A 26,717-nucleotide genomic window follows, 5' to 3' on the forward strand; every position below is an offset into this window, starting at 1 on the left:
TTCTTTTTAAAAATGTCCTTATTATCAAAATTAAAAGTTGGTGGCCGGGCACGGTGGCTCGCGCCTGTAATCCCAGCACTTTGGGAGGCCAAGGCGGGCAGATCACTTGAGGTCAGGAGTTCAAGATCAGCCTGACTGACATGGAGAAACCCTGTTTCTACTAAAAATACAAAATTAGCCAGGCATGGTGGTGCATGCCTGTAATCCCAGCTACTTGGGAGGCTGAGGCATGAGAATTGCTTGAAACCAGGAGGCAGAGGTTGTGGTGAGCCGAGATTGTGCCATTGTACTCCAGCCTGGGCAACAAGAGCGAAACTCCATCTCAAAAAAAAAAAAAAAGTTGGCAACTCTCAGTTTCCTCAAATTCTTTTTGAAGTGTTACTCTCCTACAAAATCCAAAAGACTGTGAATCGCAAAGTTAAACACTGGGGTGGTTCAAATTTTTGTTTTTTAGAGACAGGGTTCTACTCTGTCACCCAGGCTGGAGTGCAGTGATGGAGTCATAGCTCACTGTAGCCTCCAACTCCTGGGCTCAAGTGATCCTCCCACGTCAGCCTCCCCAGTAGCTGAGACTACAGGTGTGTGTCACCATGTCTGGCTAATATTTAAATTTTTTATAGAGATAGGGGTCTGGCTATCTTGCCTAGGCTGGTGTCAAACTCCTGGCCTCCAGCCATCCTCCCATCTCAGCCTCCCAAAGCATTGGGAATACAGGTGTGAGTCACCATACCCTGTCCAAATTTTCTTTGGTATAGCCTGGTGCTAAAAACTGTCTTTATTAAGACTATTTGGACATCACTAATTGATATGATTAGTGAAAGGCCACCTCACCTTTGAGTCTCAAAACAAAAACCAAAAGATCCCCGACAACTTTGTTCTTCAACAATCTTTAGCTAATTCTACAATCTCTTATCACTCTCCTGTCTTCCTCAGAATCTCTCATTTGAGGCTGAGGCATGTTTCTGGTTTATAGAAATCAATGGTCGGGCTAGTCTTGACCTCCTGGGCTCAAGCGGCCTCCCAAAGTGCTGGGATTACGGGCCCTGTAATTCCAGTACTTTTGGAGGCTGTTTGAACCCAGGAGTTCAAGACCAGCCTGGGCAACATGGTGAAACCCTGTCTCTATTAAAAATACAAAAAATTAGCCGGGTGTGATGGCATACTCCTGTAGTCCCAGCTAACCGGAGGCTGAGGTGGGAGGATCGCCTGAGCCTGGGAAGTTGAGGCTGCAGTGAGGCATGATTGTGCCACTGCACTCCAGCATGGGCAACAGGAACAAGACCCTGTCTTAAGATAAATAAATAAATAAGAAATAAATCAATGGTTGTTCACCCTGACTGCACAGGGTGATTTGGAAAAATGCTGATGAAGGGCCCCTCTCCCCAAATATTCTAATTTAATTGGCCTTACGTGGGACTTAGGCTCTAGGCTGGTTCAAGAGCTCCTCAGGTGATTGCTACGTGTGGCCAGGGAGGCAAACCACAGGTATGAATGGTGTGTCTTCATTAAGTAGCTTTTATGGCACTAGGGCAGTTACACAGATGAACAAACTGGTCCATGCAGTAGAAAAGCTAATTAGGAAAACAGGCAAAATATGACAAGAGAGTAGGGTAAATGCTTTTATTTATTCCATAATTCAACAAATATTAGCTAAGCACTTAACAAGCGCCAGTGCTGGAGTGAAGCCAGGCTCTCAGTCCTGTGGGCTACCTGCAAAAACCAGGAAAACTTCACAGAGGAGGCAGCAGCCAAGCAGGAATTGGGAGGAGTGCTTAGCCAAGGTCTTTATCAGATAAGGCAGGGAGTGAGGGCATCGCAGTGAGGACAGGGTGTGCTGGGCACAGACAAGTGGCAGGCTCGGGAAGCTGGAGATGAGATACTAGTGAGGTGCAGATATGCATACCTTTAGAGGACTAAGGGGTTTAGGCTTGGTCCAGAACGCATTTAAAAGACGTTAAAGGTTTTAAAGCAGGAATGCATAAATTAGATGTGGGTACAGAATACTGGTATTTGAGATAACCCCAGCTGTTCATAAAGGCAGCTGTAGCTAGAATTTCCTAACCAGTTTAATGCTTTGACTGATCATCCCCCATCCCCTCTGCCCTTGACTGAAGTAACCAGACATTGTGACCTTGTGGGGTCAGTTTCTAGTCAATGAAGGGAGAGGATTCCATGTGGCAGTTGGAAGGGAGGTGTAGATCAATGTTTTTTAAGTGACTAATTGAATGTAAATAGAATTCACCATGGGCTGGGCCCTGGACAAATACGTTTAGCGTCCTTGCCTGTGCCTCCTTACCCAATTTCCTTTAGAAGGACTTGGTAGTGCCTCTGTGGATGTGGTACCTCTTATCAGGCTGTTTGTCTGACTTGCTTCAGAGCAAGTAAACAAACCCAAAAGATCAAACCATCTGGGTTCCCAGAGGTTCCTGCAGCTCCTCTGCACTTTATTATTCTTGTTCAGAACTCAAGGACAAATAGGTCAGATCATGAAATCAGCCCAGTACTAGGGACTATAACCTTTTGGCTAAGACACTCACAGAAGAAGTAACTTCCTCGGTTGGGGAAGAAGAAGATTTAGCCTAGGCCAGTGGTTCTCAAATTTAGTGACTGTAAGCTTCAAGACTAGTCATGAGCTAAAAATATATTTTTGGGAGACTCGCTTCAGACTTACTGAATCAGAATCTCTGGGGTTGGGCCAAGGAAACTGTCTTTCAAACACTCATTCCCAGATCATTCTGATTCCAGTGATCTGTAGATTGCATGGAGCAGTATAACTAGTCAGTGGTTCTGGTCTGTGGTGGTGGCTGGCAGCTGTTTTGGGGTTGTGGGGGACAGGTCAGATAAGCTTCTCCATTCATAATCCTCCAGCCCAGTAGGCTTGCAAAATTTGCACCATGCTTGGTTTTCAATTCAGGCTATTTCTAGGTTAATTTCTTAATTGAGCTATTTAGCTCAGCAGAGGACCTGAGATACCACAGATAAGAGAGCGGTTTAGGAGTAAGCATTAAATATCTCTGACTGTGTCTCTTATTATCCTTTCCAGTCCCACTTATCTGAAGAGCCAGATTTCTCAAAGGACAAGTAACCCTAGAGGGGAGTATCAATGGGAAAGCTATGGATTCCTTGCCACATCCCCGTTACAGAACTATGCTTGTTAAGAACAGAATCTCAAGAAAACATATCAAGAGGTTGAATGAAGACATTTCTCTCTTCTGTATTCCTGATCTCCTGGGGTTACAAGAGCACAGGTTTAGGCAAACATAGCCGATTTCTCTCTAAGGTGTCTCTTCACTTCTTGATGCACTGGAGATCCTTGTGGAATAATACATTAGTGATAATGAGTGTTGGGTGCTCACAAATCACCCACAATTCATTGGCTGAAGGCATCTTAAACGTGGACTTTTTGGCTTTTATTGTCTTTAGCTGCTTCTTTTAACATACTTTAGTTTGAGTGTACAGATTTGGGGTTTTCAAACTTGTTTTTAATTAAGGCATGGTTTATTTTTATTGCTTGAGATAAAATGCAGTCTGAGGGTCACAAATGTAATTTACAAAATAAAGTGCATCTGGGCAGACCATAAGAAAAAAAAAGAACAGAAAGCCTAAATAAAGAGTGGGCCAGGATTCTTAAGTTTATTTAGTAACTTCTTGGAGAATAAAAATCCCAGCACCTGCATTATAAAAAAGCACACCTTATAAGTGTCCTTCTCTTCGAAACACCTAAGTGAACTACACTGAATTATGAACTAACTAATGGTTTGTAAAAATTCGCCTTGAGCAAGCTATTGAAGATACTAAATAAACGAGGCTGAGACAGAGTCTGAGGAAACCCAACCTGCTGTTTGTTTTATCAGTAATGTAACTCAAAAGTAGCCAAGCGGATGGCTGGAGTTTTCTCTGTGTTTTGTTTCCCTGGGCTGAGCCTGTGAATGCCAAGATTTAATCTAAAGAGGTTTGTGTTTTAAAAAACTAACAACCAAGTAATAAAACACCTATAAAAACTGTTTATAATGGAACCGGTGACAGTTTGTAGTGTAGTATTACAATTCTTCTGCTCCCCCTCGACCTTTCTCTATCCTTTCATCCAACTCTGTGCCCTTTGTCTAAGTTCCTTTCTCACCTTGCTGCCAAGAAGCTCAGGAGGAGAGGGAGCTCACACCCCAAAGCAGCAGACCATCTTTAAAAAATGAAGTGTGTGTTGTGGTCTGCATTTGAAGACAGGGCTGCGTGTGCTGCTTGTTTTGTCTGAGATAAGGACGAAGATAAGTTGTCCTAACAAAGTACCTACCTAGTTGTACAGTGGTTTCTAATGGGAAGGTGAAGATGCCGCTGCAGTGTCAGTGGCATGAGGCTGCAGGAGTCAACCAGGGCAGGAAGCCTGGGGCCTCCCCTCCCTGGCACCCGGCATAGCCATGCCCAGGCCCAAGATGGCCCTGACTCCAGGGACAGACTTCAGGCAACAGGTGGTTTTCCACCCAGGCCACCATGCCTGAAACTTGGTTCTTTTGCAAAGCCATAGTTCTCCTCCCCCTCTCAAAGAAATGGCGCCTGGGAGGGAAACTTCGTGCTCAAACTCTCTAGGAGCCATTTCTCAGCCCACCTTTCCTATTTTCTGAAGTCTCCCTTGCCAGCATCCCATTCACCTCCGGAAAGAACCAGGGGCGCTCTCTTCAGAGTCCAGAGAGCTCTGGGAGGCATGTGGGCAGCGTCAGAGTGGCCTCGCCTGGGCGGCCAGAGGAGCCCCCAGTCTCCCTCAAGTGGGCCTCAGGAACTCGGGGGGCCCAGGGGAAGCCTGGAAAACCGAACTTCGCCATCAGCCTTCCTTACAGCGCTGGCTAAAAGAGAGGGGGGGAAGGGCCCCCCAGCGGTCTTCCCCGCCCCCCTCCCGCCTCAGCCCCTCTGCCATCCGCCTGCACCGCCCAAGAAAGCACCCAGAACGCGGCTGAGCTCGCCAGCTCCTCGCAGGCAGGGAGAGAGCATCCTGGGGGGCAGCTTCCCCCTCCAGCCCGCGTCTGACATCCCCACTCCCACACAAGGATGCCGCCGCCGTGCCCTGTCCGCAGTCGCTGAATGTCACTGCTCCCTCTTCCTCCCGATCAGGGTAGACACAGCTCCCGAGGCGTCCCCCACCCCAAAACTGCCGCGATCGCCCGAAGGCGCAAAGCCTGGGCGAAGGACGAAGTTTGGGGCCCACAGCGACGGGAGTGGGGACGCGTTGGCGAGGACCGCACCTCAGTCCCAGCCCTGGCGGGCACACTCCCCGCCCCAAACGGCCCAGGCGTCCCCATCCTCCCGCGGACACCAGCGTCTCCGCCCTCCCCCGAGGGCGGCGAGAGGAGCCCCCCGGGGCGGAGGCAGGTACCCCCGGGGCGGAGACTGGGGCGGGCGGGGTCCGGGCTGCGCCCCCGGCCAGGCCGGGCGGGCTGGCGGGCGGCGCGGGGGGAGCGGGGCTGGGCGGCGCTGCCTCGGGCTCTGTGCGCTGCAGCCCGGAGCCGAGGAGGAGGAGGCGGAGGAGGAGAAGGAGGCGGCGGCGGTGGGTCCCGGGCGGGGGGAGCGCGGCGCTGCGGACCCGGGCGGCTGGCAAAGGACGAGGCGGAGGCTGAGGAAGGCAGCGGGGAGACCCAGGCTGCAGCAACAAAGGGCAGCGAGCGATTGGCCGGGCTGCAGGCGAGGTTAGCCGGGGACCCGGGTGGCCGGAGGCAGCGGCGAGCGGTGCACGTGCTTGCAGACACGGGCGAGTGTGGAGCCGGGGGGTGCACGCCCGGTGGGTAGGGGCTTGCTCCCCCGAGGCATGGGATGGCGAGGAGGCTGCAGCGACATCGTTCTGCCTGCACCCGGCCTGGGGCTGGCAGGGTAGGGGTGTGTTGGGGGGGGAAGGATGCGAGCCAGGGGGCGGGCGAGTAGTCGCCCGGGACGGGACGGGACGGGAGAGAGGGTGGAGGAGGGGGCGGGATGGAACGCTCCGGGCGGCGCGCCCGTCCGCACACTCCACCGAAGGAGCTGGCGACTGAGAACCTCGAATTTTAACTTCGCGTGCCCGCCCGCGCGCGCCCGCCCGCGCCCACCCCTAAATCCTGCGGCCGCCGCCAGCGATCAGCTCTCACACAAACTTTAGCTGCGGGCTAGGGGGTTTGGGGTTGAGTGGGGGAGGGGAGAGGGAAAAGGCCTCCTGATTGGCGTCGTCTGCAGCCAATAAGGCTACGCTCCTCTGCTGCGAGTAGACCCAATCCTTTCCTAGAGGTGGAGGGGGCGGGTAGGTGGAAGTAGAGGTGGCGCGGTATCTAGGAGAGAGAAAAAGGGCTGGACCAATAGGTGCCCGGAAGAGGCGGACCCAGCGGTCTGTTGATTGGTATTGGCAGTGGACCCTCCCCCGGGGTGGTGCCGGAGGGGGGGATGATGGGTCGAGGGGTGTGTTTATGTGGAAGCGAGATGACCGGCAGGAACCTGCCCCAATGGGCTGCAGAGTGGTTAGTGAGTGGGTGACAGACAGACCCGTAGGCCAACGGGTGGCCTTAAGTGTCTTTGGTCTCCTCCAATGGAGCAGCGGCGGGGCGGGACCGCGACTCGGGTTTAATGAGACTCCATTGGGCTGTAATCAGTGTCATGTCGGATTCATGTCAACGACAACAACAGGGGGACACAAAATGGCGGCGGCTTAGCTCCTACCCCTGGCGGCGGCGGCAGCGGTGGCGGAGGCGACGGCACCTCCTCCAGGCGGCAGCCGCAGTTTCTCAGGCAGCGGCAGCGCCCCCGGCAGGCGCGGTGGCGGTGGCGCGCAGCCAGGTCTGTCACCCACCCCGCGCGTTCCCAGGGGGAGGAGACTGGGCGGGAGGGGGGAACAGACGGGGGGGGATTCAGGGGCTTGCGACGCCCCTCCCACAGGCCTCTGCGCGAGGGTCACCGCGGGGCCGCTCGGGGTCAGGCTGCCCCTGAGCGTGACGGTAGGGGGCGGGGGAAAGGGGAGGAGGGACAGGCCCCGCCCCTCGGCAGGGCTCTAGGGCAAGGGGGCGGGGCTCGAGGGCGGAGGGGGGCGGGGCGGGATCGGGTGGGGGCGGGGTTCGGGGAGTCGGAAGGCGGGGGCTGAGAGGGAATTTCTGAGTGGGAGTGAACTGGTAGGAGCGGTGGGGGGCCGGCGAGGGTGTGAGGAAGACTAGTGAGGGTTGGGTGGGAGGAGAAGCTGAAGGTGTAGAAGCAGGTGCAGAGGGAGAGTTAGGGAGGGATGCAATTTGAGAGAAGTGGAAGGCGGACCGAGGGGTGTGTGAGGGCAGGTGAGATGATACCGAAGGCGAGATTGCAGTTGTCTGGGCGCAGAGTAGGTGGGTTTGGGTGTGGTGGATGTGGAGTAGAGTTGAAGCGGTGCAGAGTGTTGGGTTTGGGGAGGCGTTGAGGGGTTTGGGGAGGCATTGAGGCGCATGTGAGGAGCAGGTACGATTGCAGTGATGGGAAAGAGGTATCTGGGTGGATCGCATGTTGGAATAAGAAGGAGGTTTGCTAGCTTTGGGGTATGAAGTATTTTTTAAAAACGTGGAAGGATGGGATGGTTGTGCTTGGGAGAGTTTCTGAAAGATGATGCTAAGACAGCAGAGCAAACTTAAATATGAAGGAAGGGGAGAGAGGCTGCTTAGAACTTGCAAAATCTGTGGCAGAAAATCTCCTGGGGACAAGGGATTGGTAGGGGTGGGACAAGGCGGCAGGTGTGAAGAAAGTGGGTGGAGCTGTACAGTAATTTTCGGTGAATGTGATTTGGTGGACTGTGCCAGGGGTGAGGATGGGGCAGAGAAAGGTGTTAGTTTGGGAGACAAGTTGTTTGATAGGCTGTATTTATTATTTTTTATAAAAATGAGAAAAGGGTCTCACTATGTTGCCCAGGCTGGTCTCGAACTCCTGGCCTCAAGTGATCTGCCCACCTCTGCCTGACTGATGGGATTACAGACGTGAGCTATGGCGACCCGTGATACGCTGGATTCATTATGTTAAACTTGATCTGGAGTCTTCAAGGGAGTGTCCGGCAGCAGGGTATCCCAGGAAGAGACATGCACCATACCTTGGGATAGGACATTTTGCATAGCTTTGAATTTGCTAGTACTTTGCTGTGGGCAGAGTGCAGGGAGTGGTAGGAGATGACCAGGCAAAGGCAGAGGAGGGGTTAGATTACAAATGGTGTCCTATGCCCCATGAAGGAGTTTAAGCCCTGTAATTGGTAGAAGGTGTTGGGACGTGTTAAAGAGAGTGTTAGACAGAAGTTGTGAAGGGGTAGTGATAAAGAATTACAGATGTGGGAAATAGGAAATGAAGACCAACGAACCAAGTATGTTTGGGGTTGGAGGTACCAAGGAAATTCAGGGTAGAGCATATGAGGGCCCCTCCTATATGGACAGAAGGTGGAAATAGCAAATGGAAATTAGTTGTGTTCGAACAGTCTTAGTTCTATGGGGCCCCAAGAAGGTTTTTTGTGTTTTTTTTTTTTTAAAGTGCATTCTTCCTGTCTTACTTGTATACCCTAGATTTTTTGGCATAGCCTTGAAATAAAACACTCCATTTTTTTCTTACTCATAAGTTCTTTTTTTTTTTTTTTTTTTTTTTGAGACGGAGTCTCAGTCTGTCGCCCAGGCTGGAGTGCAGTGGCGCCATCTCGGCTCACTGCAAGCTCCGCCTCCCGGGTTCACGCCATTGTCCTGCCTCAGCCTCCGGAGTAGCTGGGACTACAGGCGCCTGCCACCACGCCCCGCTAATTTTTTGTATATTTAGTAGAGACGGGGTTTCACCGTGTTAGCCAGGATGGTCTCGAACTCTTGACCTTGTGATCTGCCCGCCTCGGCCTCCCAAAGTGCTGGGATTACAGGCGTGAGCCACCGCGCCCGGCCATTCATAAGTTCTTTACACATTTATCAGAATGAATTTGGACAGTATTTTATGTTTTTAAGAAGGAAAGGATAATGCACATGTTTTTTCTTTTCCGAGAACTTCTACTGAGAGTTAAAGGTTGGAGTGGTGAAGTGATGGTTTAAAAAAAAAAAAAAAGAAAAGAAAAGAGAGAGACAGAGGAAGATTTTAACATTAAAAGAGGAATTTAGGGAATGGCTGATGGTCATGACACGGTCGGCAGAGGAAGTTTTGCTTACTAGCCACACTTAGGCTTCTGAGTAGAGTGGATATTATGTCATTGCTATTATAGCATGTGTTTATTTCACACACTGCTTTTGAAGATTGGGTGGAAACTGTCAGATGTGAGGCATAGCATGAATGAAAGGTAAATAGCATGAGTATTAGAAAGTAGATGAGGAAGTTTAATAATTTTAATGTGCTTCATAAGCTCTCATGGACTTTCACGTATCAATTAGTAAAAGACGTAACTAAGTGATCTGGCTTTCAGTCTCCTAGTTCTCTACAGTGTACCCTCAGTTTTCCACGTGCTTACACATGCCTACATTTGTACTGAGAGAAAAGGAAATAGTTTTTTTTTTTTTTTTGAGACAGTCTTGCTCTGTTGCCCAGGCTGGAGTGCAGTGGCACGATCTCGGCTCACTGCAACCTCCACCTCCTGGATTCAGGTGATTCTCCTGCCTCAGCTTCCCGGGTAGCTAGGATTACAGACATGTGCCCAGCTAATTTTTGTATTTTTAGTAGAGGTGGGGTTTCGCCATGTTGGCCAGGCTGGTCTCAAACTCCTGACCTCAGGTGATCCACTCACCTCGGCCTCCCAGAGTGCTGGGATTAAATAAATAGTTTTATGTGGCTGGGTGTGGTGGCTCACGCCTGTAATCCCAGCACTTTGGGAGGCCGAGGTGGATGGATCACGAGGTCAAGAAATCAAGACCATCCTGGCCAACATGGTGAAACCCCATCTCTACTAAAAATACAAAAAATTAGCTGGGCATGGTGGCGGGCGCCTGTAGTCCCAGCTGCTCAGGAGGTTGAGGCAGGCGAATCACTTGAACCTGGGAGGCGGAGGTTGCAGTGAGCTGAGATTGCACCACTGCACTCCAGCCTGGCGACAGAGCGAGACTCTGTCTCAAAAAAAAAAAAACAAAAAAAAAAGAAAAATATTTTATGTAAGTAGGGATGTGTAAGCTGTAGTGATCAGTCTTTGTTGCAGAATGGTAAATGATGCGTGGATGAGAGAAGTGGGGTGATGGGATATTTCTTCCCTTTAATGCCTTAATTTGCATTTCCAAAGCACCTTTAAGCATCTTTTTATAGAACTCCCATGATCTTCTGATACCTGTCTTCTCGCAGACCCCAGAAAGAGAATACACCAATTTTCGTATCATCTATTCCATTGTTGCCGAATATTTGAGTTGTTTCAAGTTTGGGGCAATTGTGAACAAAGCTGCTATGAGCATTCCTATACCTGTCATCTGGTGCCCATGTGCACAAGTTTCTCTAAGGTATACACCTAGGAATGAAATTGCCGGTTTATAGCTAGGGTGACCATTTGTCCTGGTTTTTGCTTATTTTCCCAGCGTAACTGTAACACTTTTAGTTTTCAAAAGTATCTAGGGTTAGATGATGAATTGTATGGTCACCTAGTCATAAGGTATGCTTGTCTTCATCTTTACTAAGTACCAAACTCTTCTAAAGTATTGTACCAGGTTACACTCCCTCCAGCAATATATGAATTCCCTTGCTTCTCGCCCTCTCCAATCTCAGCCTTTTTAGCTTTTATGATTTTAGCCAATATGGTAAATTTTGCGTTTACCTGATTAGTAATCAGATTGCACAGCTCTTCATATATATATATATATATATATATATATATATATATATTTTTTTTTTTTTTTTTTTTTTTTTTTTTTTTTTTTGAGACGGAGTTTTGCTTTTGTCACCCAGGCTGGAGTGCAGTGGCGTGATCTTGGCTCACTGCAACCTCTGCTTCCTGGGTTCAAGCGATTCTCCTGCCTCAGCCTCCTGAGTAGCTGGGATTACAGGTGCCCACTACCACAACCAGCTAATTTTTTGTATTTTTAGTAGAGATGGGGTTTTGCCATGTTGGGCAGGCTTGTTTCAAACTCCTGATCTCAGTTGACCCGCCCGTCTTGGCCTCCCAAAGTGCTGGGATTACAGGCGTGAGCCTCTGCACCCGGCCAGCTCTTCATATACTTTTTTAGCCATTTAGATAGCCTCATTTATAAAGTTCTGTTCAAGTCTTTCCCACCCTGCTTTTAAAAGTTGGGCCTTGTATCTTTTATTGCTATTTAGAAGTTCTTTATTTACTGTGAATACAAGTCCTTTGTCATGTGTGTGTGTTGCAAATACTGTGGCTTGCCTTTTCACTCTCTTTATGGTGTCTTTTAATGAACAGAAGTTCTTAATTTTAATGGAGTCAAATTTATTGGTCTTTACTTTATGGTTAGTGCCTTTTGTGTCTTGTTTTAAGACTTTTCCTACCCTGAGGTCAATAAGATATTCTCCTATGCAGTACTATCTTTTTAAAGCTTTGTTGACCTTAAACAATGTATAACTATGAGTAAAATACACTCTTCTTGACCCCAGCCTCACCATTACAATCTATTTTTGCTTTCCTTCACTTTTTTCTGTTCTCTGTCTTGAATTTTTACTTCTCTGCAGCTATAACTAAGAGCCAGGTGCTGACTTCTCCTGTCTCTTAGGAGAAAATGGTCATATAGACAGAAGTTCAGCCAGATTAGATTTTACAGGTCTCCAGCTGACTGTATTGCCCTTTTTCCTTTTATGAGCTAGCATTTTATTGTGTTCCTGCTATGTGTCTGCCATCATCCTTGCTGCTTTCATATTTGTTATCTCAGTGATTCCTCTTAACGGTTCTGTAAAACAGAGAAGTATTCTCATTTTTACAGAAGAGAAAACAGAGACTTAGATTGATTTAGTAGCATGTCCAATATCCCCTAGCCTAGGTAGCTAGCAGAATGGGGACTGGATCCCTGACTCTGATACTTCCCATCACAGCACACCTACTTGTTGATTAAAATGTCAGAAACCTGTTTTTTGATAACATCCAAAACCAAAAAGAATAACTTTCTTACTCTTGATGTAACATGCCTTAAGTAAAGCACACAAAGCTAACTATTGTGAAACTGGATAAAATACCTCTCTGTATATAGCCAGTGGACCTTAAGTGGTCCATGGCTGGATGACAGAAGGTCTGTTAACCCTTAAAAATGTATACCAGTGTATATGGGTACATGTGCTTATTTTTTAGAGTAGAGCTATAATATTTATGAAACTCTCAAAAGGGAACCTGAATTTTTCAGGGTATCTGGATATCTGGTCTGAAGACATCTGTAATACAGTTAACAAAGAATCCTGTAATAATCTCTCTTTCAAAAGAATCATAAAAAAGTTAAGATGTCAGATTTTTCTCAGCCAGGTGCAGTGGCTCATGCCTGTAATCCCACTACTTTGGGAGGCTACAGTGAAAGGATCCCTTGAGCCCTGGAGTTCAAGACATGCCTGGGCAACATAGGGAGACCCCCGCCTCTATTTTTATTTATTTATTTAGATTTTTTGGTATCTTCATTTTATCTTATTTATTTTGTTGAGATAGAGTTTTGCTCTTGTTGCCCAGGCTGGAGTGCAATGGCGTAATCTTGGCTCACTGCAACCTCCACCTCCTGGGTTCAAGCAATTTTCCTGCCTCAGCCTCCCAAAGAGCTGGGATTACAGGCATGCGCCACCACGCCTGCTAATTTTTTGTATTTAGTAGAGATGGGGTTTCACCATGTTGGCCGGGCTGGTCTCAAACTCCTGACCTCAGGTGATCCACCTGCCTTGGCCTGTCGAAGTGCTGGGATTATAGGCATAAGCCACCAAGCCTGGCCTTGTATCTCTATTTTAAAAAGTTTTTTAAAAATCACATTTTTTGGCCGGGCATGATGGCTCATGCCTGTAATCCCAGCACTTTGGGAGGCTCAGGCAGCTGGATCACAAGGTCAGGAGCTCGAGACCAGCCTGGCCAACATGGTAAAACCCCGTCTCTACTAAAAATAAAAACAACAACAACAAACAAACAATGGCATGGTGGCATGTGCCTGTAATCCCAGCTACTCAGAAGGCTGGGGCAGGAGAGTCGTTTGAACCCGGGAGGCGGAGGTTGCAGTGAGCCGAGATCACGCCATTGCACTCCAGCCTGGGCAACAGGGCAAGACTCTGTCTCAAAAAAAAAAAAAAAAAAAAAAAAATCACATTTTTTCCCTTAATACATTATTCTCGGTCTTTGTCATCAAAAACCAACTAAAGCTAATTTGTAATTAGGGAGAAATCTAGGATTGAATAGGAATTTTTAAATGCCAAAAAAAGACACTCTAAATTTAGTTGATTATTTCTTAAGTGAAAGTGCTTAGTTATAATACATCATTACTAATCAGTGTACCCTGGCTCCAAAGACCTGATGACTTCAAATGACTTTTCATCTTGTCTCTAAATTCCTCTGTTTTACAAGGGATCAAATTTCCTGTGAGGTTCCTAACAGTGTGATTAAATTTTAGAGACTGAAACTATTGAGCACTTAAATGCAGGGATAACTATGCAAACCTAATTCATGGGTTTCACCAGGAGATTTGGGACCTGTCTCTACTAATTTATGATGATGATGTTGAAACTAATCTTTGCTAGGGATTATGGAAACCATAATAGTTTATTGATGGTTCAGTTATTGTTTGTTGAAGCACATTTACACAATTATAGTTTAATGACATAACAAGGATATTGTCAACTAGGAGAGCATGACATGAAAAATTAAACTTGCAATTAATATAATATGTATTAGTTGAAATGATAATTTTTATGGTGATTTAGCCTCTTAGAAATCCTTGGAAAACATTATTAGCTTATGAATTGAAAACTCTCTTTGTTAATGAGTAGTGGGAAAGAACTTAGTGTTACTCTAAAAAGATGGGGAATTAAATATTCAGTTCAACCAGCGTTTTATTGAGTGCCTGCTCTGGGCTTGCTGCTGAGTTAGGCTCATAAATATAAGTTGAACAAGATTGATGTTTGCAGAGATGAAATACTGGTTGCTTTTGTTTTTTCTTTCAATCACCCTTCCCTCCAGAGTAGATGGCTACTATTGCCAGAGTGATTCAAACATTCAACAGGTTTGTGTGTGTATGTGCATGCCCTTCCCTGTGCATTATGGTGTCACCTGCTCCTGCAGTGGCTTCCTATTCATCTGTCACGTTCACACACCACAGCTTGGCTTTTTTCACAGCCAACTTTATTTCTGTTTTTTTTTTTTTTGAGATGGATTCTGGCTCTGTTGCCAGGCTGGAGTGCAGTGGCGCGATCTCGGCTCACTGCATCCACCACCTCCGGGGTTCAAGCAATTCCCCTGCCTCAGCCTTCCGAGTAGCTGGGACCACAGGCATGCACCACCACGCCTGGCTAATTTTTTGTATTTTAGTAGAGATGGAGTTTCACCATGTTGGCCAGGATGGTCTCAATCTCCTGACCTCGTGATCTGCCCGCCTTGGCCTCCCAAAGTGCTAGGATTACAGGTGTGAGCCACTGTGCCTGGCCTATTTCTGTTTTTCATTTTTAAATTATATTTGTCTTTTTTAGAGACAGAGTCTTGCTCTATTGCCTAGGCTGGAGAGCAGTGGCACAATCATAGCCCACTGTGGCCTCAACCTCCTGGGCGGCTCAAGAGATCCTCTTGCCTCGGTCTCCCGAGTAGCTGGGTCTACAGGTGTACACCACCACAGCCACCTAATTTTTTATTTTTGTAGAGGTAGGGTCTTGTTGTGTTGCCTAGGCTTGTCTCGAGCTCCTGGCCTCAAGTAATCCTCCTTCCTTGACCTCCCAAAGTGCTGGGATTAGAGGCATGAGCCATTGTGCCTGGCCCAACTTAATTTCTTTATCCCTTTTGAGCATATACCTGTTCTAGTCAGGCACATGGACTTGGTGTCCCTTTTGTTTGACAGCTCATTCTTAGCTTCTGTTATTTCACTTTGATTTCCTTCATTCATTCCCCGATACATTTATTTAGCAAATAGGCATTGAAACCCTCTTATGATCAAGTTGTGGTCTTGGGAAATCTTAGGGTATACAAAGATGAATCAAGCATGAATCCTGTTTTTAAGAATTTTATAGTCTAGTAGGGGTGACAAGGTTAATACACAAGTAAGCATAATACTAAGTGGGAAATGAATGTCAAAACAGTAAAAAAGCTAAAAGCTTCCTGTTAGACAAAGATGTTTGGGGCTTTTGAGAAGTTGTTTGCACTGGGCCATGAAGGATTTGAATTTGGGCAGAGGGACGGTGGGGCACTTATCCAGGCTCAGCATTATCTTTCAAGGTTCAGTTTCAGTCCCATCCATCCAAGAGATGTTCATCCATCCTCCACGTGGTTTCAGCAAGGTAGTATAGTCACAGTTGTTTCCAGACTTCTTCCTTCTGTAATCAGAGGAACACTTCCTTTAAAGCGAATCTTATGGGGAAGACAAATATATGTAAAACAGTTAAAGTGGAGCTGCACTGTTGGGTTCAAGGTGCTGCAATGGCCCAAAGTTTAACCCACAAGGGGTACCTGAAGGTAATACCCGAAGTAACTCCTTGTCACAGAGATCTAAAGAGCCTAGTTTGAAAACCTCTGGAGAGACAGAAAGAGTTTGGGCTTTGGCATCTGAATTAAAATCCTTCATGACTTAATGGCTCTGAGATCTTGGCTAAGTCAAGCCTGTTTTCCTTTTGTAAAAACAACAATGCTACCTTACAGAGTTGTTTTAAAGTTTACTGATAATCTATGTAAAGTACCTGGACCACAGTAGGTGTCAGGAAATGGTTGGTATTATTATTATTATTATAGTTTAGTGCTTTGTTATTTCTTTTTTTTTAAACAATTTATTGAGGTGAAACTCACATAACATAAAATGAAAAAACCATTAAAAAGTGAACAAATCAGTGGCATTTAGTACATTCAGTGTTGTGTCACCACTGCCACTATCAAGTTCCAAAACATTTTTATTGATCCCAAATAAAACCCCTTACCCATTAAGCAGTTTCTCTAGATATGTCCCTGAGACTCCACCAATCTGTGTTTTGTCTATGGATTTATCTATTCTGGATGTCTCATATGAATGAAATTATATGATGTGTGGCCTTTTGTGTCTGGCTTCTTTCACAGCATAACGTGTTTGAGGTCCATCTACATTGTAGTAGCATGTATCGAAACTTCATTGCTTTTTATAGTTGTATAGTATTCTAGTGTATGGATATACCACAGTTTATCTGTTCATCTGTTGATGGACATTTGGGCTGTTTACACCTTTTGGCTACTGTGAATAGTTTTGTTATGAACATGGGTGTACGTGTACTTATTTGAGTATCTGTTCTCAATTCTTTTGAGTCTATACCTAGAAATGGAATTACAGAACCATATGGTAATTCTGTGTTTAACTTTTTGAGGAACCGCCAAACAGTGCTTTGCTATTTCTTAATTGCTTCTTATATGTTCTGTCTCTAGCTTTGCTTTGTATTCCCCATAGTACCTACCACAGGGCTGCATGCAGGGAGCATCAGCTCGCTAAATATTTGTTGGTTTTTCTTTGATTAGTATTTATAACCTCACCTCCCAGTTCACATGTTTTGGGCCTGAAGCATTGATTTCAGAGGAAATAGATGCATCCAGGATTTGAAAGATAAGAAATATCACCATATGGATGGCGTTTCATGTTGTCAGACAACAGATATTTGTTAACCAAGGACACTATTTTGAGCAACTCTGCCAATAACCTGAGCTGGGTGCTGATAGAAGAAAAATAAGTCAAGGTCCCTTCCCCTAAACAGTTCTGTTCTGTTTCGGAAGATACTGCTTAGATTTGTGGATGCTCACTCAGTTACACAATGGGCTTTGAAAAAATCCAGGTTTTCCAACAGTGATCCCTTTGGGGAAAAAAAAGAAAGAAAAAGCCAGGACTTATGAAAGTAAAATAGTTAAAAATAACTGTTAGCAAGTAAAACTCAGGATGACAAAAGTGTAAACTCTATTATTAATCTTTGTTTTTTTCTACCACTGTTTTTTGCCTCATCCATAATCTCATGACTTGAGTGTTATGACATTGATTTTGAAACAACACACACAGCTTTAGTAAAAGCTTAGAGGAGGCCTCGCATAATACTTATGATCCAGGATATTTTGACTCTTCTTATGCTGACATGAATATTTCTGAATAGTGTTGATGTTTATGTAATACCAGTGAAGCTAAAAGCTCAGTGCTGGACTAAGCATTTCTCTAGATATGTTTAGAATATTTGTAATGAATGATGTAAATAGTGTTATATTATAAGACCGTATGATACAACCATATAATTTACTGATATTTTGTAGTTAAAAATAAAATGATTCACAACCTTAGAAAATAGAATAATTTAATTTGATGTAGCACAAATCCCCAGAATTAATTTAGGATGATTTGCTACCTTTTTGATAGCCTTTTAGTCCAACCTTCAAGTTTTTATAGAAAAAAAATGAAAAGAGAATAATGATTTTAGGGTTTTCGCTTGTGATAGAATGTCCTATCTACATGTGAAGCAAATCCCCATGCTCTGAAAAAGAGAAATAGTGTGGATAATTCCAAATCAGGAAAAAAAAAATCATTTCTATTTGGCTTTTGAATGAATTATGCATTTTTTTTTCCTGTGGATTTGTCTTTCCAGTTAGATACTGCTTAGGCTAAAATGAAATTGGTTTTCAATCTATTCTCTTGCTTATATGAATTTACAGTGGGGCCAGTGGGATGTTGGAAACAAATCAGCCTAAGATTAAAAAATTTGCGGTGGATAATATACAAAGTGGATAATATACATGTGTTTAGTTGAGAATTGGCTACAGATAAGAGACTTCTGATTTTGTTCCTCTCCTAGCTGTGTATTTTTTTTTTTTTTTTGAACACTGTGATTCTGCTTGTAGCAAAGAGCTGCTGAGTTACATCTGCTTCTGCCTAATTAACTCTGTTGGTTGGTGTCAGATGAGAGCTAATTTTGAGATTAAATCGAGGAGTGGGGTGTGTGTCGTGGCTGGGGGAGGGGAGAAGGAGGATCCAAGGTTGCTTGATTGTTTTACGTAAGATCAAAATGCAGTTATTCACAATTGTTCTTTTAAATTTATTTTTTGCTTTTCAAGTAAAAATAATCACTGCTGTCCTAAAATGTGACTTGTGTCAATACATATTTACTATTATGTAAACTGGTACGTTTTTCTTGTAGGTGAGCTTATTGGTCATATCTGGGTAGTCCATTCAGTACCTAGGTGCCTGGTGGCCTTTGGGACAAACAGCGAATGCTGCCCAGGAATGTGAATGCTGACCTTAAAACAACTTTTGACTGTCTTTTTTTCTGATAAATGTTATATCTGTTTGGCTATTTGAGTAGTAGTGGGTTTTTGTTTTTGTTTTGTTTTTCCATGATGAGATTTTTTCTTAGGAATCTATCACAAACCTGATTTTTAAAATTTGAACAGGTCTGGGCTTAGGGATGAAATTTACTTCTATAGGCACTTGGCTGGGTCCTTGGGGCTTCATTTTCTGTCTCAAGTTTCATATTTATAAGAATCCTTCAGTGGTCTAAAAGAATTATTATATCACCAAATGTAGTATAATAACTCATTGGAGCTGTTTGTCTTGAATGGTTGTGGAGATACACGGATGGTTGCTGAATTTAAGGATGTCCTTATGTCCAAATGAACATTTCCTTTTTTCTTTTGGCAGATTTGCCTGAAGACCTGGATAATCTCCATTTTTGTCATGGACTGTTAAAACGTTTGAAGTTCCAATTCTGGTACTTTCCCTTATTTTATTACATTTTTAAGGTATAAAATGACAATCTTATTGAAATGTGTTGGTAATGGATATAAACAATTGTTTTATGGATATAAATGATTGTGGGTAAAGATTTGTGGGCTGGGTGCAGTGGCTCACGCCTGTAATCCCAGCACTTTGGGAGGCCGAAGTGGGCGGATCACGAGATCAGGAGTTTGAGTCCAGCCTGGCCAACATGGCAAAACCCTGTCTCTACTAAAAATTCAAAAATTAGCTGGGCGTGGTGGTGGGCACCTGTAATCCCAGCTACTTGGGAGGCTGAGGCAGGAGAATTGCTTGAATCTGGGCGGTGGAGATTGCAGTGAGCCGAGATCATGCCATTGCACTCCAGCCTGGGCGACAAGAGCAAGACTCTGTGCCCCCCAAAAAAAAAAAAATGATTGTGGTAAAAGCTTGTCATGAAGGTATATTTTAGGTATCTATTAGTTATGAAACACATTTTTTTTTTTTTTTTGAGATGGAGTTTCGCTCTTGTTGCCGAGGCTGGAGTACAATGGCGCAATCTCGACTCACTGCAACCTCTGCCTCCTGGGTTCAAGCGATTCTCCTGCCTTAGCCTCCTGAGTAGCTGGGATTACAGGCGCATGCCACCATGCTTGGCTAATTTTTTGTATTTTTAGTAGAGACGGGGTTTCACCATGTTGGCCAGGCTGGTCTTGAACTCCTGACCTTGGGTGATCCACCCGCCTTGGCCTCCCAAAGTGCTGGGATTACGGGTGTGAGCCACCACGCCCGGCTATGCATTTTGTTTTAATGTACGTTCGTTTGCTTGTGTAACAAAACACCTAAAAGCAACTTGGCAATATTGGGCACTTTTCCTGTGACCTCTTCTACTTTCTGCAGTTGTATTTTGTGCAATCAAATTAAATTAGTTGTGATTCATCCTGAATAAATGATGAAAGATTAAATAATTACTTGGATACAGTGAAATATCTTCTAATGAAATTTTGCCCGAAACCATTTTACTTGGGAAAGATCAATTTCCTGTTCTAAACTAACTGACAGAGAATGATTCTGTGTTCTATCCTGAAAGTGGTTGCACTGTGAAAGCCAGTGATTTCATTCCTAAACACACTGTGTTCCAAGTCTAACATTTTTGTCAAGGGTTTATATAATGAAACAAAAGTGAGTACTTATTAGATTTGTAGATGACATAGATGACAGAATCAAGATTCAAAACAATCTTTAGCAGGTTGGAAGATAGGCTTAAATCAACGAGATGAAATTGAACGGTAATAAACGTTAAATTGCAGCATTTCAATTTGCAGAAGGAAAGGGGTGGAAAGACTCAACTTGACAGCACTTTTTGAAAAAAGATCTGGGATTTTTAGTTGGACTGCATGCTCACCATGACCACTTGTGTGGCAGGGGTATTGAGGAAGTTCCTGTAATTTGGGTTGCATTTATAATTGGATAATGCCTGAACTGTCATATTTTAAGATGGCCAATAGCCAAACTAGTGAGCAACCAAGAGAAAGTGGTGCTTTGAAACAATGTGATATGTGGAAGGGTTAAGAAACTGGGATATGAGTGGTCTAAGTTATGGCTGGAGGTAGCATGGGGTTTTGTCGTTAGTGGTTTTCAAAAGGTACTTGTTTTTGGACATTTGAAGGCCTCTCATACTGAAGAAATACTAAGAATTGTCTTGGGATCCTTCCAGGGAATAGGACTAGTTAGGAATAGGAATAGGGTCGAAGTTATGGGGTGGCAGATTTTTGCTTCTCTGAGCAAGAAATTTAGCTAGAGCTGTGCAACAGTGGGGTGAGCTGCCTCAAAAAGTGACAAATTATCAATCACTGGAAGTATTTTAAAAATGTAAAGACTCATTGCCCATCTATTTGGGATATTGGGCAGGGATCTTTTATTGGATAACTAGAGGTTGGACTGGATGACCTTCAGCCCCAAGTTTCTGAATCTGAGGGGAGAATGAGTAGAGTGAATTTACAGCTTACTGATCACAGGGACAATCTTGTTTAAATTGCCTCCTTTAAGGTGGCATTTTGGGTTGGCATTTAAAACTGTACTGTTTGAACAAGTATAGTTCAATGACCCAGCTGTTTTTCAGCAACATTCCAGGATCTCTGAGAGCAAATACTATATTCTTCAGTATGTCTGGCTAAAGTTTTTAAGGAAAGATATTATTTTCTTCTCTTAGGTATAGTCTGTCTAAATAAATAACCAGAGATAACTTTAATTTTGTATTTTGTTATAAAAATTTCAAAGTATATAGATGTTGCATTTGATGAAAGTGATAACTATATATTGAATATTAGATAATGTGTTTATTTAATCCTCTCAGTAGTCCTGTAAGGGATATACCAGTATTGCCTACAAGTAAAGTGATGGAAGCTTAAGTTATCCAGGGTTCCTCCACTGGACATTGTGGTAGGGCTGGGGTTCAGACCCAGGTTGGTCTCTTTGCAGAGGCAGAACTAGCTAGAGCAGGCAGTTGTGGCTCAGGTGAGAACAGTGATGGACTTAGTTGGATTTTAGAATTGGCTGGGCACAGTGGCTTACACCTATAATCCTAGCACTTTTGAGAGGCCGAGGTGGGCTGAGGTCAGGAGTTTGAGACCAGCCTGGCCAAAATGGCAAAACTCCATCTCTACTAAAAATACAAACATTAGCTGGGTGTGGTGGCACATTCCTGTAATCCCAGCCACTTGGGAGGCTGTGCAGGAGAATCGCTTGAACCCAGAAGGCAGAGATTACAGTGAGCTGAGATTGCGCTATTGCACTCCAGCCTGGGTGACAGAGCGAGACTCTATCTCAAAAAAAAAAAATTAATAAAAAAAATTAATGATGTTCGACCCTTTAATCTGTTATTGACTCTTCCCTTGGGTGAATTCCATCTTCTCCCGAGCCTCAGTTTACCCACAAAGTTCTGCAGTTTAAGTGACAAGTTATATGTGAGCACACTCTGTACAGTTTAAACTATAAAAAGAATTAAGAAGTGGATGTTATCATTGGACACCAAGATTAGAGCTCAGGTTTGGCCCAATTCCCAGGCCAAGGCTCTTTCTCCTTGTAGCCTCTTTGTAGATGTACTCAATACCAGATTGGAGATCTAGGGTGGTTTTTGTATATACCAAGCATCTCTCAGAACAAATGCCACTGTCCACCTGGAATCAGATTTGTATATATCTTCTTTGTACTGAGCTGTTTAATGAGCTAACTGGGTATTAAGATAACTAGAATGCTCTACTACTTAAAGGTGAAGGGTTATGTTACTGTATTATTTTCAGTTTTCCAATTTGTGGGTTAGAGGGTATCATAGACCTCTGTTAAAGGGATGGGGATGTGATTCCATAGAAGTAGCTAGATGGGAAGTTTTTTTACGTATGAGACTTGGGAAATACAATACCTAGCTGAAAGCTGGATTATTTACTCTTTTTTTTAAGTTTAAGATTTTTTGAAATAAGTTTAATGTACTTTCATCAGATTTTTTATATCATAGACTTATTCTTTGATGTGTATTTTATGTTTATGGCAGACATATACCTCAAACCACTTTCATATAATTTTGTTAATTTCAATAAATATAATTAAATGTATAATTTAGATGTGATTATGCCTCATAAATGACTTCATATAGAGAAGTGAAACATTCTAAAAACAATTTCTTCTCAGACTGTGACCCAATTTCTTGTTGAAAAATATAGTCACTGTGGCTGTGTTATGTAATACCTGCCTGTCATTACTTCTTGTGGTCATTCTGTGTCTGAAAAAGTCATGCTAAAGAATCTTTTAGTTTATTTGTGTAAGCTTCATTATTAAGAGACTTTCCCCTCTTTTTATCCTTTAAGGTCTTGATTTCCCAGTTAAAGATGTTCTTCACCCGAATGCAGTCTTTCCTGTTGGTAAAATAAGACAACCATCAACATTGCCTGTTTGTCTGCTTTTGAATCTCTTAAGGATGGATGTTTGTAAGATGTTGCTTAATACAGTCTGGAATACTCTGTCCATTTGTTGAATTGTAAATGACTTTCAAATGTGCAAGTTCTGTTAAATACAAAGAGAACCTCTATGGGTAACTTTTGTGTTGAAGAAGTCATTTGTCAACCATGGTAAAACTTGCAAACCCACTTTATACAGAGTGGATTCTTGAAGCTATACAGAAAATAAAAAAGCAAAAGCAAAGGCCCTCTGAAGAGAGAATCTGCCATGCGGTCAGTACTTCCCATGGGTTGGATAAGAAGACAGTCTCTGAACAGCTGGAACTCAGTGTTCAGGATGGCTCAGTTCTCAAAGTCACCAACAAAGGCCTTGCCTCCTATAAGGACCCAGACAACCCTGGGCGCTTTTCATCAGTTAAACCAGGCACTTTTCCTAAGTCAGCCAAGGGGTCTAGAGGATCATGTAATGATCTCCGCAATGTGGATTGGAATAAACTTTTAAGGAGAGCAATTGAAGGACTTGAGGAGCCGAATGGCTCCTCCCTGAAGAACATAGAGAAGTATCTCAGAAGTCAAAGTGATCTCACAAGCACCACCAACAACCCAGCCTTTCAGCAGCGGCTGCGACTGGGGGCCAAACGCGCTGTGAATAATGGGAGGTTACTGAAAGACGGACCGCAGTACAGGGTCAATTATGGGAGCTTAGATGGCAAAGGGGCACCTCAGTATCCCAGTGCATTCCCATCCTCGCTCCCACCTGTCAGCCTTCTACCCCATGAGAAAGACCAGGTAAGCGAAGGAGTAATGTTCGTGCATTCTCACTACTGTCCTTTTGTCTTTTACGGTTTCACTTAAGTTTTATGTGGACAAAAGTTCTGAATAAAGTTTGATAAAATTGAATGTTTTGCCTTAGAGCAGGCTTTTGTATTTTAAAATGTATATATTGTACTGCATTGTGTGGAGGACTTCCTCACTGGTTGGCCAAGAATTTAATGGAAGAGTCATGTGGTTTGTTTTTAAGCTCTAATTGCTAACTGGTTGGTGTCTGAAGGGACCAGGAAGGATAATATTGATCTTTCTTCATCCAGGCAGGGTCATATATATTTCAGAAATCTACGAAAAGGCCATCGTATATTTTTCTCTTTATTACTATTTTCAAAGAAGAATCTACAGACTTCTTATTTTACTATTATTATTTTTTTGAGACAGAATCTAGCTCTGTCGCCTAGGCTGGAGTGCAGTGGCGCAGTCTTGACTCACTGCAACCTCTGCCTCCCAGGTTTAAGCGATTCTCCTGCCTCAGCCTCCCAAGTAGCTGGGATTACAGGCACCTGCTACCACACCTGGCTAATTTTTGTATTTTTAATAGAGACAGGACTTCACCATCTTGGCCAGGCTGGTCTCAAGCTCCTGACCTCAAGTGATGCGCCCGCCTCGGCCTCCCAAAGCGCTGGGATTAGAGGCGTGAGCCACCATGCCCAGCTAGACTTCTTATTTTAATGGTGATAATCTATGCTTTTTTTTTTGAGATGGAGTTTTGCTCTTGTTGCCCAGGCTGGAGTGCAGTGGCACAATCTCGGCTCACTGCAACCTCTGCCTCCCGGGTTCAAGTGATTCTTCTGCCTCAGCCTACCTAGTAGCTGGGATTACAGGCACATGCCACCATGCCCAGCTAATTTTTGTATTTTTAGTAGAGACCAGGTTTCACCATGTTGGCCGGGCTAGTCTCGAACTCCTGACTTCAGGTGATCCACCCGCTTTGGTCTCCCAAAGTGTTGGGATTACAGGCGTGAGACACCATGCCTGGCTGATAATCTATGCATGTAAGAAGTTATTTTAATACGTCACCTAAATCCCTCATTTCAATAAAAAGTCATTTTTTATTGTCCACTTCTCTGTGTTGTAGGTGAATGTTTATTTTGTCTCATACAGTATCTTTTTAAAATACTCTGATTTCTTGGGCCTTATGTTATTTCTATAGTATTTATAAATATATGGCAGAATTCTCCTTACATTACTGCTACCACTTTAAGTTTTTGGTTGAGTAAGATTTGTCTTTGTTTCAAAGCTACAGTATTTACTTCCCAAACTAAACACAAAGTAGAGCAGCAGAAAGTTATTTATAGTTCATGTCTAGTTTTGGGGTTTATTCTCTGTCTTTTGGGTGAGCAGATATATTGATATCAGTTAATTTTATTAATACATGTTATAAAACATTAATCATTGTTGATAGAAAGGTGGTTTTGGCTGGGCAGGGTGGCTCCTGCCTGTAGTCCCAGCACCTTGGGAGGCCAGGGTGGGAGGATCACTTGAGCCCAGGAGTTCAAGACTAGCCTGGGCAACATAGTAAGACCCCTGTCTCTACAAAAAAATCAAAGAATTAGCCAGGCTTGGTGAAGCACATGTGTAGTCCCAGCTACTTGGGAGGCTGAGGTGGGAGGATCACTTGAGCATGGGAGGTAGAGGCTGCAGTGAGCCTTGATTGTACTCCAGCCTGGGTGATAGAGTGAGATCCTGTCCCAAAGATAAAGAAAGGAAGAAAGAAAAGGTGGTTTTGGCCAGGCACAGTGGCTCATGCCTGTAATCCCAGCACTTTGGGAGGCTGAGGTGGGCCAATTGCCTGAGTTTGAGACCAGCCTGGCCAACATGGTGAAACCCCATCTCTACTAAATATACAAAAAAATTAGGCAGGCGTGGTGGGGGGCACCTGTAGTCCCAGCTATTTGGGAGGCTGAGGCAGGAGAATCCCTTAAACCCGGGAGGCAGACGTTGCAGTGAGCTGAGATTGTGCCACTGCACTCCAGCCTGGGTGACAGAGCGAGACTCTGTCTCAAAAAAAAAAAAAAAAACAAAAAAAAAAAGAAGGAAAGAAATGGTGGTTTTATTCATGGTTTACTGCAGCCTTGACCTTTTGGGATCAAGTGTTCCTCCCAAGTAACTGGGAATACAGGTGTATGCCACCATGCCCAGCTAAGTTTTTAAATTTTTTGTAGAGATGGGGTTTTGCCATGTTGCCTGGGCTAAGTACAGTTTAGAAACAATTGAAACATGCATGTTAGGAAAAGTTATGCTCCTCTTGTTTGGATACCATGAACCCTTGAAATGGAACCTGTTTTCCTCAATGCTTTAGATCAGATCAGCCCATGGAAAGGCAAACCACCTGGTCCTACAAATTGGATAGGACCAGGTGGTTTGCCTTTCCATGGGCTGATCTAAAAGGCTGGAGTGCAGTGGTGTCACCTCGGCTCACTGCAACCTCCACCTCCCGGGTTCAAGTGATGCTCTCACCTCAGCCACCCGAGCAGCTGGGACTACAGGTGCACACCACCACGCCCGGCTAATTTTTGTACTTTTTGTAAAGATGAGGTTTCTCGATGTTGCCCAGGCTGGTCTCGATCTCCTGGGCTCAAGACATCCTTCCGCCTCGGCCTCCCAAGGTGCTGGGATTATAGGCATGAGCCACTGTGCCTGGCCAACATTTATTTGTTAACTATATTTTTATTTTGTTAGTCTTCTGCCACATTTATTTGATCCTTAGGTGGTTGTTGTGTTTGTGTAACCAACCTCTAGTTCTCTGTGGCAGAATGTGGGCATAAAGAAAGAAGTAAAGTTATGAAATTTTCTTCTTAATAACATTTGTTTAAAAGAAAATACAAAAAGCCACTTAAATCCTAATTCATATGTCTGACACAGCCAAATCAGGGACCTCTGTTTTTAATTAAATACATATGTATATATATATTTTTGTTTTGTTTTTTTGTTTTTTTTGAGATGGAGTCTTGCTCTGTCACCAGGCTGGAGTACAGTGGCATGATCTTGGCTCACTGCAGCCTCTGCCTCCCAGGTTCAAGTGATTTCCTTGCCTTAACTTCCCGAGTAGCTGGGACTACAGGAGCGTGCCACCATGCCTGGCCAATTTTTTGTATTTTAGTAGAGACGGGGTTTCACCATGTTGGCCAGGATGGCCTCAATCTCCTGACCTCATGGTCCACCTGCCTTAGCCTCCCAAAATGCTGGGATTACAGGCGTG

General features: G+C 44.3%; 1 protein-coding gene across 35 annotated transcripts in view, besides 7 other annotated features; it reads left to right on the forward strand.

Moving 5' to 3' along the window:
- Positions 4,724-4,773: a silencer, noted in NCBI's record as "silent region_2500". NCBI's record gives its function as "represses an Ori minimal core promoter by ATAC-STARR-seq in GM12878 lymphoblastoid cells {active_cell/tissue: GM12878}" and the evidence as "EXISTENCE:reporter gene assay evidence [ECO:0000049][PMID:35858748]".
- Positions 4,905-5,676: an enhancer, noted in NCBI's record as "H3K27ac-H3K4me1 hESC enhancer chr10:76584665-76585436 (GRCh37/hg19 assembly coordinates)". NCBI's record gives its function as "activates a minimal SCP1, AML or CMV promoter by ChIP-STARR-seq in primed H9 embryonic stem cells {active_cell/tissue: H9 hESC(primed)}" and the evidence as "EXISTENCE:reporter gene assay evidence [ECO:0000049][PMID:30033119]".
- Positions 4,934-26,717, forward strand: part of KAT6B (lysine acetyltransferase 6B) — a 207,689-nt gene continuing 185,905 nt past the window's right edge. For 8 of the 35 annotated variants that reach the window (NM_001370136.1, XM_017016004.3, NM_001370138.1 and 5 more), the window contains exons 1-3: positions 5,477-5,672; positions 18,681-18,750; positions 22,598-23,476. In NM_001370136.1, the coding sequence (NP_001357065.1) occupies positions 22,856-23,476 (621 nt within the window). In that variant the 5' untranslated portion in view covers positions 5,477-5,672; positions 18,681-18,750; positions 22,598-22,855. Of the gene's footprint in view, positions 5,359-5,476; positions 5,673-6,597; positions 6,784-18,680; positions 18,782-22,597; positions 23,477-26,717 lie in introns of those variants that run through there. The other 27 variants (NM_012330.4, XM_047424915.1, NM_001256468.2 and 24 more) reach the window with 8 other exon arrangements.
- Positions 5,284-5,453: a silencer, noted in NCBI's record as "silent region_2501". NCBI's record gives its function as "represses an Ori minimal core promoter by ATAC-STARR-seq in GM12878 lymphoblastoid cells {active_cell/tissue: GM12878}" and the evidence as "EXISTENCE:reporter gene assay evidence [ECO:0000049][PMID:35858748]".
- Positions 5,564-5,663: a silencer, noted in NCBI's record as "silent region_2502". NCBI's record gives its function as "represses an Ori minimal core promoter by ATAC-STARR-seq in GM12878 lymphoblastoid cells {active_cell/tissue: GM12878}" and the evidence as "EXISTENCE:reporter gene assay evidence [ECO:0000049][PMID:35858748]".
- Positions 5,677-6,448: an enhancer, noted in NCBI's record as "NANOG-H3K27ac hESC enhancer chr10:76585437-76586208 (GRCh37/hg19 assembly coordinates)". NCBI's record gives its function as "activates a minimal SCP1, AML or CMV promoter by ChIP-STARR-seq in naive H9 embryonic stem cells {active_cell/tissue: H9 hESC(naive)}" and the evidence as "EXISTENCE:reporter gene assay evidence [ECO:0000049][PMID:30033119]".
- Positions 5,774-5,973: a silencer, noted in NCBI's record as "silent region_2503". NCBI's record gives its function as "represses an Ori minimal core promoter by ATAC-STARR-seq in GM12878 lymphoblastoid cells {active_cell/tissue: GM12878}" and the evidence as "EXISTENCE:reporter gene assay evidence [ECO:0000049][PMID:35858748]".
- Positions 6,664-7,063: a silencer, noted in NCBI's record as "silent region_2504". NCBI's record gives its function as "represses an Ori minimal core promoter by ATAC-STARR-seq in GM12878 lymphoblastoid cells {active_cell/tissue: GM12878}" and the evidence as "EXISTENCE:reporter gene assay evidence [ECO:0000049][PMID:35858748]".

Source organism: Homo sapiens, chromosome 10 (genome assembly GCF_000001405.40).
Source record: "Homo sapiens chromosome 10, GRCh38.p14 Primary Assembly".
NCBI lineage: Eukaryota > Metazoa > Chordata > Mammalia > Primates > Hominidae > Homo > Homo sapiens.